At 48.4% G+C, this 14,264-nt stretch overlaps 1 protein-coding gene across 1 annotated transcript in view, besides 3 other annotated features; it reads right to left on the bottom strand.

Annotated features, from left to right (window-relative positions):
• Positions 1-14,264, bottom strand: part of SLCO2A1 (solute carrier organic anion transporter family member 2A1) — a 97,225-nt gene that overhangs the window by 43,196 nt on the left and 39,765 nt on the right. The window contains exon 2 of the mRNA NM_005630.3: positions 3,585-3,722. Coding sequence (NP_005621.2) covers positions 3,585-3,722 — 138 coding nt within the window. The remainder of the gene's footprint in view (positions 1-3,584; positions 3,723-14,264) is intronic.
• Positions 12,729-13,023: an enhancer, noted in NCBI's record as "tiled region #8475; K562 Activating non-DNase unmatched - State 21:Repr". NCBI's record gives its function as "activates a minimal TATA promoter and a strong SV40 promoter by Sharpr-MPRA in K562 cells {active_cell/tissue: K562}" and the evidence as "EXISTENCE:reporter gene assay evidence [ECO:0000049][PMID:27701403]".
• Positions 12,729-13,388: a biological region, named in NCBI's record as "Sharpr-MPRA regulatory region 8475".
• Positions 12,747-13,388: an enhancer, noted in NCBI's record as "NANOG-H3K27ac hESC enhancer chr3:133707487-133708128 (GRCh37/hg19 assembly coordinates)". NCBI's record gives its function as "activates a minimal SCP1, AML or CMV promoter by ChIP-STARR-seq in primed H9 embryonic stem cells {active_cell/tissue: H9 hESC(primed)}" and the evidence as "EXISTENCE:reporter gene assay evidence [ECO:0000049][PMID:30033119]".

The raw sequence follows: 14,264 nt of genomic DNA on the forward strand, positions 1-14,264 counted from the left end.
GACTCTCTCTCTTCATTGCACTCATCATAACCTGATCTACAGTATGTTTTATTTCCATAAATACTATATTTATCCTTAGAATGATATATGAGCAGAGATTTTTGTCTGTTCATTCCTGTTTCCCCAGCACCTAGAACAGTGCCTAATACTTGGTGCTCGTTAAATATTGTTGAACAAATGAATGAATGAGTAAATGGTAGACTTTTTCAAGAGGAGGACATAGTTGCCCAGGAGACCCCTCCAGCATGGCCAAGAGTGAGATGGTTTATGATCTACAGAGAAAGGGGATGTGAAGGTGTGTGAGAGGCAGCTCCTGCCAAAGGTGGATCTAGGACATCCTGAAACCCACACCTGGAAAGAGAGCTTTATTCTTATGCTTCCCAGATTTCGTTTATTTCCTTCTTGTTTCCGTATTGCTTTTCATAAAATGATTGTAAATGTCAGATCATATCAGCTGTGCTGACTGTGGCTGACTTTAGAAGGCCTGGGTGAGGGTCAGTGGAGGGCCCCGAAGGGGATCTCAGGGAGGAGGGACAGAGGAGAAGCTCTTCTGCACTCTCCAGGGGCCTGCACTTGTTTCTCTGTGGGAAGCTGAACCTCCACAGGTGTTACAGCTAATGTTGGCTTAAGACCTTGTTCTCAAACTTTTCTTCAGCCACAGAGTCCCTTTGAAAAAACTGTTTTTCCCTAATATAAAACAACCCCCCAAATGCAGCTGTTCCGGCTGAGAAGAGAGCCTCAAGACCTCAGTCTCCTCAGCCCTGGAGCAGCCCCTAAAACACTACCATGGACTTGCTGTGAGACTCTTTGAAAGCTGTTACAATGCCCATCATGACATGCCCCTGCCCTTCAACATCTCAAACCAAAGGGCCGCAGGGACAACTGGTGGGTGGCGTGAAGGGCAGGCAGCCTCTAGGGCTCAGCCCTAGCCTTTCGTAGTGGACAAGAGAAGCTGCTGCTTCAAGCCAAGTTGCTCCATGTCTTCTCTTCTTAACTAAGTTCCTCCTGCTGGTGCTGGCCTTTTACGCCCAGCCTGTCAAAGGCTTCACCTCACCTACTGGGCCCCCAGAAGGCTCTCTGAGACTGGAAGCTGCAGACTGAAGGTTCATGCTTCCTGGAGGTTCACCGCACACTCCACCACCCGGGCAGCCTCACCTTCCCCTTGCACCAGGCCGGGCTCTCTTCTCACATCCCCCCTAGCCTTCAGGCATATACTGTACACAGACAGACACATACAGAGTTGCACACAAATACTCAGACATACACAGACACAGATACACACACACAGAGGGTTATAAGGTCAGAGGAGTGAACTATCTGATGATATTTGCTTCAAATCATGCCCACAGGCATGAGCTGAATTCAGATTCTTGAAAAGTTCATCTGAGACTGGGAAAGATTTTAATGGGTGAATTATTTTTATTTCTGATTGAACTCCATCCCTGGGAAAATATTAAGCTCTTTCATTGCCTAATCAACCTCCTGTCTTAAGCAGATCCTGCTACAAGTCCTAGCTAGCTACTCCCAGCCCATTGAGGAATCCAGTTGTTTCCGGGCCCACATTTTTGTTCCAAGCATAGGGTCAACATGAATGAAAATTTAACCATGGGAGATCACAGATTTGGCTACCACCTGGGCTGAGGTGAAGGAGAAGATTCACCTCACATGCCAGCTCTGACTTTGATTAGTAGCAAGGCCTAGAATATTGTGTTGAGAAGGATTCTGAGGCTGTGCATGAACTCAGCAGGAAAGGGATGGGGTGGGTAATTAGGGATGCCTGCCAGGGTCATGAAACAAGACCGTGGTGACGCAAATGTCGGAGATTTGTTTTCCCTGATATCCATCATGAGTGAGGACAACATGTGCCAGGGGAATTACCAAAGTCAGAGGTCAACATCGATGAGGGTCATTCTGTGTGAATGCAGGGCAGGGACACCAGGGTGCTGTCCTGGAAAAGGAGGCAACCACACAGTCAGGCAGACCCAGTCACCAGGCATCACCAGGAAGCTCAGGATAGCAATACAAGCAGACAGACAGAGACACAGGCACACACACAGACCAGTACACAGACACACACCTGGCACAGAAAGCAGGGAAGGCACACACATAGGCCTGGAAGCTCAGAGGAGGAGGTCTCAGGCCAGCAGGGATGACTTAGACAGGCTGCAGGACTGTGCGTGTATATGTGCATGCATGTCATATATGTGGCGAAAGAGCCCATGGAGGGGTGCCCATGAAGTGAGGGGCACCAATGAAGATTCCAGCGATGTGTGTGGAGGTTGAGACTGGCTGGAGCAGTGCTTGTGAGCAAGAGACTGGAGGAACGGTAGAGAAGACAGTTAGGAATCCACAGAGGAGGCCTCGGCATGCAGCCCTCAGACAGCCCTGGGCTCAGACCCTGGCTGCACCATGCACATGACAGGGGGCTGACCTGGATGGAGTACTCAGGCTTTCTGATGCCGGGTTCCTTGTCTGAGAAACACGACTGTGAAGAGTGCCTCCCTCCTAGGACCGTAGAAGGGACTGTCACAGGAAAGTGGTCCTGGGGTCACTGCTATGTGGACCATCAAGGAAGGGGGAGGGGTGAAAGGGAAAGCCTTATTCCAGCAGGAGAAGGCTGGGGAGAGGAGATACCTGCCTTCTTTTACAGTTCTGTTTTGGCCAGAAGCTGCCACAGGACAGGGGCCCGGGCTCTAAGTGACTGCACTGACTTGAATTTCACTAAGTCAAGGGAAGACCTCATGATGCTCCAGAGGAGCAACCCGGCTCTGGGGAAGGGACCACTGCCTGCCTCCATCCAGGAAGAGTGGCCCTGGGGAGAAGATGGAAGCCAGCCCAGGAGCCCTGTCTCCAGACTATGGAGACAGGATGAAGGGGTTCTGCTGCCTCCGCTCACTCTCTCTCCCCAGCTTCCAGTGGCTCCTGGCAGGCCCTGCCCTCTGACCTCCCACCTCCTCTGGCTTCTCGGCCCATCTTGTCTTCCTCTAACTTTGATATGCAGTCACTGAGGGATGGCAGGAAATGCTCGGAGGCCATAGAGCTCTGATCTCTTCAGGGAGTCAAGGCCATTAAGAGCTCTGGCTCTTGTGGCCCTCATAAGACAGGAGATGCCTGGGCCCAGGGCTGCTGACCCACCTGCATGCCTGGGGCTTATCCTCTCTAGACTATGTATGGGGCAGGGGCCCCACAGGCTGGCAGATTGCACAGAACTAAATTAGAAGCACAGAATTTGAAGGCGGACAGCCCTGCATACCTGGAGCAAGCCACTTGTACTCCTGAGCCTCAGCATCCTTATCTGTGAAGTGGGCATGAACATAGTACCTGCTGGCAAGGCTGCCATGAAGAGGCCCCCAGGTCAGGCATGGGAGGCTTTCAGCTCAGTACCTGGCACAAGTCAGGCCTCAGGAAATCTAGCTGCTCTCACTGTGCCCACTGGATCTTTGCTGTTTCGTTTGCTGTTACCCGGCAGAAAGAGGCATTGCACCTATGTGCACATCTCAGCCCCCTGTTCCTCTGCTTCTCCTGGATCTTGTGGTCAGCGTGGTGCACAAGTGGAGTCTGATGGACCAGAACCTCCTGCTCACCTCATTCAAGCTGGAAATGAGACCCGATGAAGAACTGGAGAGCCCAAAGCGCTTCTCAATGGTGGTGAGGCTGCTCTTGAAGTAGGCGCTGTACAGGAGTTGGCAGAGCTGCAGGAGGCCTTGGCAGAGCACAAACACCTGGGGGAAGAGTGATGGGCCCGTGAGGTTTCTGGACGACAAGCCCTGGCGCCCTCCCAGCCATCTGTTAGGGGCCCCGGCAGGCTGACCTCTGTTTCCTCGCCTGTTATCTAGGAGCAGTTACTTCCCAGGGTCTCCAGGATGAAACGTCATCATTGCAACATTGTGTTGCACCCTACAGGAAGCACTCCTAAAGTGCTAGCCATTCCTGTTATTACTGCATTCTTATCACTGCTGTGATATGTGGCCCAGTGAAACCACAGGGTGTTGAAGATATGACAGGGTTGGGGACTCACCCCCAAGGGAAGGGCCTAACTGCTCAGCTGAGCATCTTGGATTATTCCCCAACAGCACCACAGTGCTCCACAGGCTGCACATCTGCCCTCCTCCTGTGCCCTGTGAGGGCTGAAGGCCACTCCCCATCCAATTCAGACCACTCTTGGGAGATGAACAAGCCCGGGTCACATGGATCCATCTCTCTTGACCTGTCTTCCATTCCCAACACCTGTCCTCTGAGGCCCACCTCTAATGCCTCCAGTAAGGCACCATGATGCAATCCCCAAAGCACCTGGTTTGAATGAATGTTCCCATCCATGTCCTCATCTCTTACCAGGACTATCTTGGCCTCTCAGGAATGTCTGTGACTGACTGTGCTTGCTGCCTGCTCAATGGATGATCAAGGCCCCAGGGAAGGGGCCAAGGCCATTTATCTCTGTATCTCACCTGGCCTCGTACCTGGTCCTGGGGTACTGAGTAAATGTGAGTTCCATGGTGGATGGGAACAGATAACACATCAGGGAGGGTAGGAGAAGGGTTTCATGATGTCCCTAGTTGGCTCCAGGCTGAGCTCTGGGCTCCCCCAGGTTCTCAGCTGTTGCGCTGACACCGAACAGGCTCTGAGCCAGGAGTCCTATTCTCAAGCATCTCCTGGAAGGCGCCCCTCTGGGTGAGGTTTTCCTCCAGGGAAGGGTGAGTGCTGTGCCATTTCACAGTCTTCCAAAGCTCTTTCCATGAATGAACAGCTGCCATCACAGGAGAGCAACCGGGGCTCCACCTTCATTTCCATTTCCTTCCGAAGCTGAGCCTTCCTCTATAGGTGCCCTTGTTCCAGGCTGTGGGGTTTCCTTCCTGCCAGGGCAGAACCTTTGCGAGGCCAGCTTGGGATGTCAGACAGAGCCCAGAACTCACTGCCTATCCATGTGTCCATGCTCACAGCCTCCAGGTCTGGAGAGGTCTTTACACCCACAAAACCAGACACCTCTCCTGACTGCCACCTGAACCTGTGTGGCCACCCCACTCCTCCCAGGTGGTAGAAGGAAGCCTGCCTGTCTGGGGGCATGGTGGCACTCCACCCCTGCCATGCTAGAGAGGCTCCACTGGGCTTTCTTTTGTATTCTGAAATTCTTCTTAATATTTTGTAATAATGTCATCCCACTCTCTTTTCACAAATGGGGAAACTGAAGTCCAGCAAGGGGTAACCCAAGTGCCCAACCCATGCCCTGTATGCAGTAGGCACTTTGGGGCTTAGATGCTAGTCACCTGACGCTTGGCATGGACCAGATCTGGACCTGCCTCTTATTCAACAGAGCAAGCTTAGCCAGAAAGGGTCCTGTCTCTGTCTAGAGACAGAGTTTAGAGTTTAGGGGGCATTAGTCTTTAGGGAATGGTCAGAGGAGGAGAATCTGGCGAGGCATCTGAGGTCAAATTGCCTCGTTCCTAGGTCTGGCCTGGACCAGGGAACAATCTCGGTTTGTGTGTGCTTTTCCCCCTTCTGTGCCCTGGGTTTTCCCAACTGCAAGGTAACTGGACTAAGTCAATGGTTCATAACTCAGCTTTGATTCAAAATCACATGGATGGGGAGGTGGGAGTGCCTTTGAAACACAGAGGCTAGGCCCAAGCTCAGATCTACTGAATCAAAATCAGCAGGAGTGAAGCCTCAAATGCTTTATTTGGAAAACTTCTACCAGCAGAGTCTGGGGGACAACGTGGTTTCCAGTCACCGGACTAGAAGACTCTTTCTGGCTCTGACCATCCTTGTAAAGGGTAAGATGTGAAAGATTAGAAAAAGAAAAGCAAGGCTGGGCGCGGTGGCTCATGCCTGTAATCCCAGCACTTTGGGACTTCGAAGCAGGCGGATCATGAGGTCAGGAGTTCGAGACCAGCCTGACCAACGTGGTGAAACCCCGTCTCTACTAAAAATACAAAAATTAACCAGGCGTGGTGGCACATGCCTGTAATCCCAGCTACTCAAGAGGCTGAAGCAGGAGAATCGCTTGAACCTGGGAGGTGGAGGTTGCAGTGAGCTGAGATTGTGCCACTGCATTCCATCGTGGGCGACAGAGCGAGACTCCGTCTCAAAAAAAAAAAAAAAAAAAACAAAACAAGAAAAAGAAAAACAGTCATAGAAATTCCCTAATCCATAGGAATTGCCACTATAAGGCTGAAGGAAAGACAAGAGCCACATTATAGGTTATAGGTTATAAGAAAGCAGCACAAGACTGTGACAGTGATGGGGATGGGATTTGTCAACGTTCTGTCATTTTCCATGGAAACAGGACACCAAAGCTCACTTGAACCCAGATTGTTCCCTGGTCCAGGCCAGACCTGGGAAAGAGACAATTTGACTTCAGATGCCTTGCCAGATCTTCCTCCTCTAGCCACTCCCTAAAGACTAATGCCCCCAAAGCCTGCCTGTAGACCCCTTCTCTGGACATGATCCATTCTGCACCTGCTCATAGGCAATCCCATTTGCCATAGGATGATGGCCTCCAATCTCAGTTCTGTACCCAGAACTTTCGCCAGAGTTTTGCAAGCAGGTCCACTCCACTGTCTGCTAGACGTATCCACCTGGACACTCCTAGGCCCCTCAAACTAATCACTTCCCAAATAGGACTCATCATCTTCCCCCATAAACTGCTCCCATTTTTCCTTCATTCCCCATCACCTTCACTCAGTTTCCCAAGCCAGAAACCAATAATCCTTCTTGATGTCCCTCCTCCTCACCCTCTGGTGTTTGCCCCATCCCTCAGCCCCATGGTCTCTTCTTGGTGTCTCCCACATTGGAGCCCTGCCTCTTCTACTGGTGTAAGCCTTGGCTCAGGCCCTCACCATCCCTCCTCAGATCACTGCAACAGCCTCTCACAGGTCCCCTGCTTGCTCCTCTCAAATCTTCCACCACACCACCCCAGGGGGAGCTTTCTCAAGCACAAACACGAGCAGGTCACGCCTGAATTGGCCTCTCTCACTGGCGTCCCATTTTCTATAAGGTAAAAACCAACACTGCTGTTAGCCAAACAGCTGTGTTGGTTTGTGAGGGGTGATAGCCAAGATGCTACAGTCCTGGACCCAGCCTGCCTCCATATTTTCTGCTGAGACTGATCATATTTTGCAAAGATGGCCACACCAATCTCTCCCATCCACATACACCTCTTACAATGACACTCTATCAAGGGGTGGGTTCTGTGTTCTCTCCCTCTGAATATGGGCCAATCTTAGCTCCTTGCTTCTAATGAAGAGAAGTGACGCTATGTGACTTCCGAGGCTGGATCCTAAAAGTGGACAAAGAATCTGGCTGGCTCTTTCTCCCTTGAGACCCTTAGTACCCCGACATTACATCATAAGGAAGCCCAGTCTTCCTTACTCATGGCGAGGCCACATGTTAATGTTCCACGGATAACTCGGTTCAGATTTTGGTCCTCAGCCAGCATCAACCACCAGACATGTTACTGAGCCAGCTTTCAGATGATTCCAGTCCCAGCCCTCGATGCCAAGTGAAGCAGAAATGAGCTACCCCAATGAGCCCTGTGCAGATTGAAGATTTGTCAGATTTGTCAGCAACCTAAATGTGGCCATTGTTTTAAGCACCAAGTTTTGGATTGTTCTGGTATGCAGCATTAGACAGCTGCAGCACCTGCTGCCACCTTGTCCTTCAAACACATCAAGGTCACACTCTCAGAGTTCCCTGAAGGCCCTATGTCAGTGCCTTTGCTCACAGTCTTCCCCTTCTTTGTCTGGATAACTTCCCCTGCCCTTCAGGAGCAGTGTGGGGCCCAGCATGGAGATCAGTTGTGTGTCTAGTTCAAGGTTGCTTCTAAAAATCCCAGCACCCTGTGCTGACTCCTGTACAGAAGCATCTGAAGGATTGGCACATGGCTGGTGGCAAGAGTAGCATCTAGCAGAGGAATGAGGGCTGTCATACAGCTTTGGGAGAGACGAGGGCTGGCTGGGGTAGTGGGTCTGGAGAGGCACCAAATTAGAGGCTCTTGCAAAGGCTGGCTTGACACCGCTGTCACCGATTCAACGTGAAAGAAGAGACGGGGCTGTTTCCAGCCTGAGGGCCAGGAAGAGGTCAAAGGCATGCATGCATGGAAACGGGGGATCCAGAAGGAGGAGAGCATAAGGAGATCAAGGACTGAGAGTTCAGTTATGGAGCACTTGAGTTTCTGAGCTTGAGGCTTAGAAAAACCAGTCTCCCTCCATCCAAATTAGTAATGAATTAACAGGAGTGACTAATCATCACCAACTTCTCCAGTTGTCTCATGAGAGGAAGATGGGGATGGTGGGAGAGGAAATTTGTCTCAGATCTTTTCCTGAAAGACATGCCTCTAAGTACAGAAATTCCCCCACTTTCTCCCCCGTGCTACTGGGTGAAAGACTCTAGCCAGAGCTGGCTCCTTTCCACATCCCCCACCCCTTCACAGAGCCAATCTCGCCACCAGCTATTGGCCCCTGCAAGCCCTGTCAGGTCTGGGTGCCTCATGGGGGCCCTGGCAGAGGTGTTTGTATATATCTGGACCCCTTGGTTCCAGTGGATATGGAGAGGGATCAGATTGATGGCTGCAAGGTAGAAAAGGCAGGGAGAAAAGGCAGGGAAAAGGGAAGGAAGTCGATGGATGGTTCTGTCAGGGCCACTCAGGGTCACAGCCATCTGGCCCCACATACTAAGCTTATGTGATGGGACCATGACCTCGGCTGCTCGAACTTACCAAGTACCTCCTATATGGCCAGCATGTGACAGAGCAAGCAACACTTGACACCGTGCAGATAAAACACAAGCCCATCCCTTGAGGAGGACACAGGTTCAAGAGTACATGGAGATGTATTGGTGGGAGGAAAAGGTTTGCTAGTTGGGTTGCAACCTACCCTTCCCCATTATTTAGGCAATATAGTGTTATAGTTTTTGATGATTTGAGTTTTGGAGTCAAACAGGCCTAGGTTCAGGTCTTGACTTTGTAAGCCATGGTGTGACCTTTGGCTACCAACTGGGTCTCCTTGAGCAGCAGGTTTTCCCATTAGCAAGTGAAAACTATGATAACACCTGAGTTGTGAGGCTTGCACCACAGAATGTTGCAGGCCCCTGCCACCTGCCCGTCCCACACCTTGCCTGGTGAGTGCTCCACATCCTGGAGGGATATTCAGTAACTTGAAGCTACCTCCACTCCCTCCTCTTGCCCTCTGAGTAATTTAACTTCCCGGTTGCTTTCAGTTCTCCGGTAGTCTGAGAACCCTAGAATAGAATTTCCCACAATGTGTTACCAGAACATCACTTGCTTAAGATGCTCTAGGCCAAACAACTCCCTGGAGAAAACAAATTGGAAAACATAACGTACTACAATCCTCCCTCACGAATATGTGCAATCACATTTGCATATTAAAGGTTCTGAGTTCCGTAGTAAAGACTTAGTTAAGTTGTTTAAGTCAACCTTCCCATGCTTCTTTAACTATGTAACTCCGCATCCACACACACATCACCACTACTTTATAATAGATGCTAGCACTCTCCAGAATACACTTTATGGAAAGATAACATGTGCCTTTTATAAAACACCTTTGGTAGAATTTGAGTCTTGCAATTTCTTCACAAAAGGAAAAGAAAATGAAGATGAATTACACGGGCTGCATTATCTTCTTTAAAATGGTATATACCATCATTTTCTATCTCCTCACTCGACTTTTTTTCTTTTCTCGGCATGTATTGCTTCCCCAAATTACATCATGCGTTTGATTTCTCATTTATTGACATTTCCTCCCACCAGAATATAGACTTCATGGTGGAAATACAATGTGTGTTTTTTAGAACAAATCCACAGTGCATGAAATGATGCCCAGTTCAAAATTGGGGCTCAATCTTTGTCAAATGAACAATATGTCTATAAAGTACTCTAACTGATAAGTCCAAGCTCCAGAATATACATCCACCACAGTAGTCATTCTGGGAGGCTGCAGACTTGTTCCAGTGGTCTGTCTGCAATCATTTATACATTTGCCCCTTTGGTGCTGCTTCTGATCAATCTACAAGCCACACAACTTACAAGGCACAAAACAGCATTTGTCAGTTCAGCTGCCCTACTTACTTACTTGGCTAAACCCAAACTGAAATAAGATTTGCAGCCATGTATGAAGGGACTTTCTACCGTGGTGGAAATATTCTACTTTTTAATTTTGTGGTGGTATTTATACAGGTTTATACATTTGTCAAAACTCAACAAATATTTAAAGTGTGTGCATTTTATTATATGTAAACTAGATACCTCAATAAAGTTGGCTAAAGAAGAAATTCATTTGAAAAAAGATTTGCAACCATGAGGTATTCAAAATAATGTTCTGGGGCTTTGAAGGGAATTTGACAAACAGTTTTTTGTTTTTTGTTTTTTGTTTTTTCAATCATGAGCGTTGGCAATGTCATTGGAATAACTTTGTTTATTCAAGAGTCCTATTTTGACAGGTTCAAAACCCAGGCAAATATCTAGGTTTGTGTGTGTGTGCTAATCTAAACATCTAGGTTGACAAGGGCTGTGCGTGTGTGTTAAGGTAAACACATCACTTGAGACACATCTTATAGAAGGAAGCTGGCAGAGAAACCCCACAGAGGACGAGCAACATTCTTGCAGGGCAGGGAGGGCAGGAGGCACTCAGGCTTCTAACTGTCAAGGCCATGCTCATGACGGCCTCATTCATTCTCCAATCCTAACAAACATATAAAGAGGAAGGAAGCGGGGAAACTGGAGTGGCCACGAAGTTCTTTAATAAAGAGAGAACTTTTTACCACCCGTGTCAAAGAGCTAAGAAAGGCTAAAAAGCTACTGAGATGCAAGGTAAATTTGGGGGTGTGGGGGACTTGGCCCAAGCCACGCTTCAGTGACATAAGTGAGATGACCATGGTGGATAAGCCACAGGACAAGGAGGGAGGCTCCCACAGCTCAGGATGAAGGAGAAAGCATCAAAGAACAGTCTAGACATGGCTTTTTTTGATCTACATGTTCATGCCTCTCTTTTCCAAACTAAACATCGGAACTACGATCTAACCATTGTTAGGTCACAGTGGCATCTAACCGTGGTTATAGGAACACCAGCGGAAGGTCTGAAATGTGATCCCCATAGGGTTATTACCTATTTAATGACTGACTGTGCTGTCAACCCACTCTGATGTTTTCCACACAAACCCCAGGGAAGGAAGACTAGAAAATTTCAACTGATGTCTTATGTCCATGTAAACCAAAAATAAAATTCAAAGCCCCCCCCCCCGCCCCCGCCCCGCCACCCCCACCCATCCCCATTGTGAATGGACTTCCTCCTCAGCCAGAGTACTCTTAAAATTTAACCTGAAAGACTGGTTCAGGTCTCGACAGGAAGTGGGGGTCAGACAGACCTCATTATACCTCTCTGGCATTAACATCAACACAGACCTGAAGTCTGATAAGAAACATGTAGAATCGATTCTCTCTGAAGCCAGCCGGCTACCTGGAGGCTTCATCTGTCTGATAAAACCCTGGTCTCCACAACCTCTTATCGCAACCCAGACATTTCCTTTCTATTGTTCCCAGGTCTTTAGATAAACTCAACCAATGTCAATCAGAAAATTTTAAATCTACCTATAAACTGGAAGTCCTCCCCCCACCCCACTTCAAGTTGTCTCGCCTTTCTGGACCAAACCAATGTATTTCTTAAATGTATTTGATTGAAGTCTCCTGTCTCCCTAAAATGTACAAAACCAAGCTGCGCCCTGACCACCTTGGGAACATGTTCTCAGGCCCTGTCACGGGCCATGGTCACTCATATTTGGCTCAGAATAAATCTCTTCAAATATCTTAGAGTTTGACTCTTTTCATCGATATCCACTAGGATGCAACTTCTCTGAGGTGATTCAATGTACTGGAAGAGTCCAGGAGTTGGAGGAAAACCATTCAGGGCAGGAGATGTGGCTGGACTGAGACACACAGCCGGTGACCTCTCAGTTTGAAATAACTGATTCTATCCCTAAATGGCAGCTATCTGCTTTCCCAAACAGGACTCTGACAGGGCAATCTGAATGAAACAGTTCTTCTAAAGGAAGGAAGAAAGGAGGGAGGAAAAGGGAGAAGAAAAGAACAGCACAGAAAAACCTTATTCTCACCCTCACTGAGTGTAAACCAAAAAGAAAATTCTAAGTATTCCCCCTCACTGCCCCAAGCATCTGAATGGACTTCCTCCTGGTCAGGGCACTCTTAAAATTTAACCTGAGAGACTGTTTCAGGCCATGACAGGAAGTGGGAGTATAATAAGGTGACATGCCTCATTATACCTCTCCAGCATTAACATTGACACAGTCTGTAAGCCTGATAAGAAACATTTTACAACCTATTCCCTCTGAAGCCTACTACTTGAAGGCTTCCTCTGCAAATAAGAACTTGGGTCTCCATAATCCTTTATTTTAACTTTACCCAGACTTTCCTTTCTATTGATCCCAGGTCTTTAGATAAACCCAACCAACTGTCAATCAGAAAATTTTTGAACCTAAACTATAGGCTGGAAGCCCCCACTGCAAGTTGTGCCGCCTTTCTGGACCAAACCAATGTATTTCTTGAATGTATTTGATCGAAGTCTCATGTCTCCCTAAAATGTATAAAACCAGCTGCACCCCGACCACCATGGCACATGTTCTCAGGACTTACTGAGGGCTGTGTCACAGGCCATGGTCACTCACATTTGTAAAATATTTGAAGAGATGTATTCGGAGCCAGAGTTTGACTCTTTTTGTCGACAACAGGATGCAGGGAGGGAGAGTTCGGGGTACTGAGGACCATGCTGCTGTTCTCTGAAAGAGGGAGGGGACAGCCATGTGCTGCTGGCTTTAGTCCCTCCCAACCTCTGAAAGTCAATTTGGCCTCAGGGGACATTCTGCTCTTCTGCTCTCTAGGCCGAGCTGACTGCATACCAGACAGGTGGGAACACGTGAGACAGGAGAACAGAGTCTGGAGACAAGGAACTTAAGGCCGGTTTGTGCTAACTTCCTAAAAGAGAAAACATCAAGGTCTGGGGGCAGGGAATCTAATGCCAATTAACACAAACTTCCTAAAGCTAAAGCAAAAGGGAAAACCCCATCTTCCCACTCTGAGTAACAAAGGATCAAAGGCTACTCTCCTTGCAACCCTCCCCCTTCCACCACGTCTCAGATGGAAAAGGAGAGTGCCTTAGATTGGCCGGCGGGCCCTGCAGGGACCTTCCCTTTATCTGCATATGGCGCCAATTCACCTCAGCCTTTAATTAGCCACAAGCCAAATCCTTCATCCAGATAAAGGGAAGAACCTCAAATGGTTACTTACAGCCCAGAAAACTTTATAACTGGGCCTTTGAGCTGCTTGCTAGGGCCCACTCCCACCCTGCGGAGTTCTTTCTTGCTTTAATAAATTCCTGTTTTCACTGCTTCATTCCTGTGTTTCATTCCTTTGGTACTTTGTTTCTGCATTTTGTTCAGTTCTTTGTTCAAAATGCCAAGGACCTGGACAACTCATAGTCAAGACCCTCCAGTGGTAACACCCCTCTGAGACTTCCCTCTCTTGGGAAGAAGCATAACTGCACAACCACACTGACAACCCCCCTGGATTTGAGCAACACTGGACAGGCATCCAGTCCTCCCATTCCACAGTTAACTGGAACCCACCTATGGAATTAAAATCAATTTGCAATTCTTTCCACATTTTATTTTATTTTTTTGAATCAGTGTAACATGTGCATGTGTTTAAAATATCAAGTAGTGTGGAAGGGCTTAGAATGACAAAGCCCAACTCTACACTCAAGTCAGCCCACCACCAGTACCGCAGGTTGGGAATAACCCCCTCTGCTTTTAGTTTTTAGTTTTTCTGTTGATGACATCCACACATCTCAAAATAATACACTTGTTCTGCAGTTTCTTGACTTACCATTTTATGGTGCCTGTTACTACAGAAGAGGATTTAGCACAGTTATAATTGCAAAGCCCCCTTCTCCCTACTCCTCCCAACTTTTAATAGTTCTATCAGTATTTTTATTATCAGATCACTTTGTGGGAAGCAAACTGGGAGCCAGAGGAGCAGGGCTTCCCTCCTGGGCACAAACCTTCACACTGTGTGATAGTTCCCGTTAATTCTAGGAGAGAAGGTTTCTTGTGTTTTCCGTGGGGTAAAGGGCTGTTCTATCTTAATCCCTTAATCTCACTTCTCCTTCTGCCACGTTCGCCAATTCTAAATCTGTTGCCTCTCCGGGCTGTGCCAAGCCCGCGGGCTCCCCGCTACTGCAGGCCCCGTG

This window comes from Homo sapiens, chromosome 3 (genome assembly GCF_000001405.40).
Source record: "Homo sapiens chromosome 3, GRCh38.p14 Primary Assembly".
Classification (NCBI taxonomy): domain Eukaryota; kingdom Metazoa; phylum Chordata; class Mammalia; order Primates; family Hominidae; genus Homo; species Homo sapiens.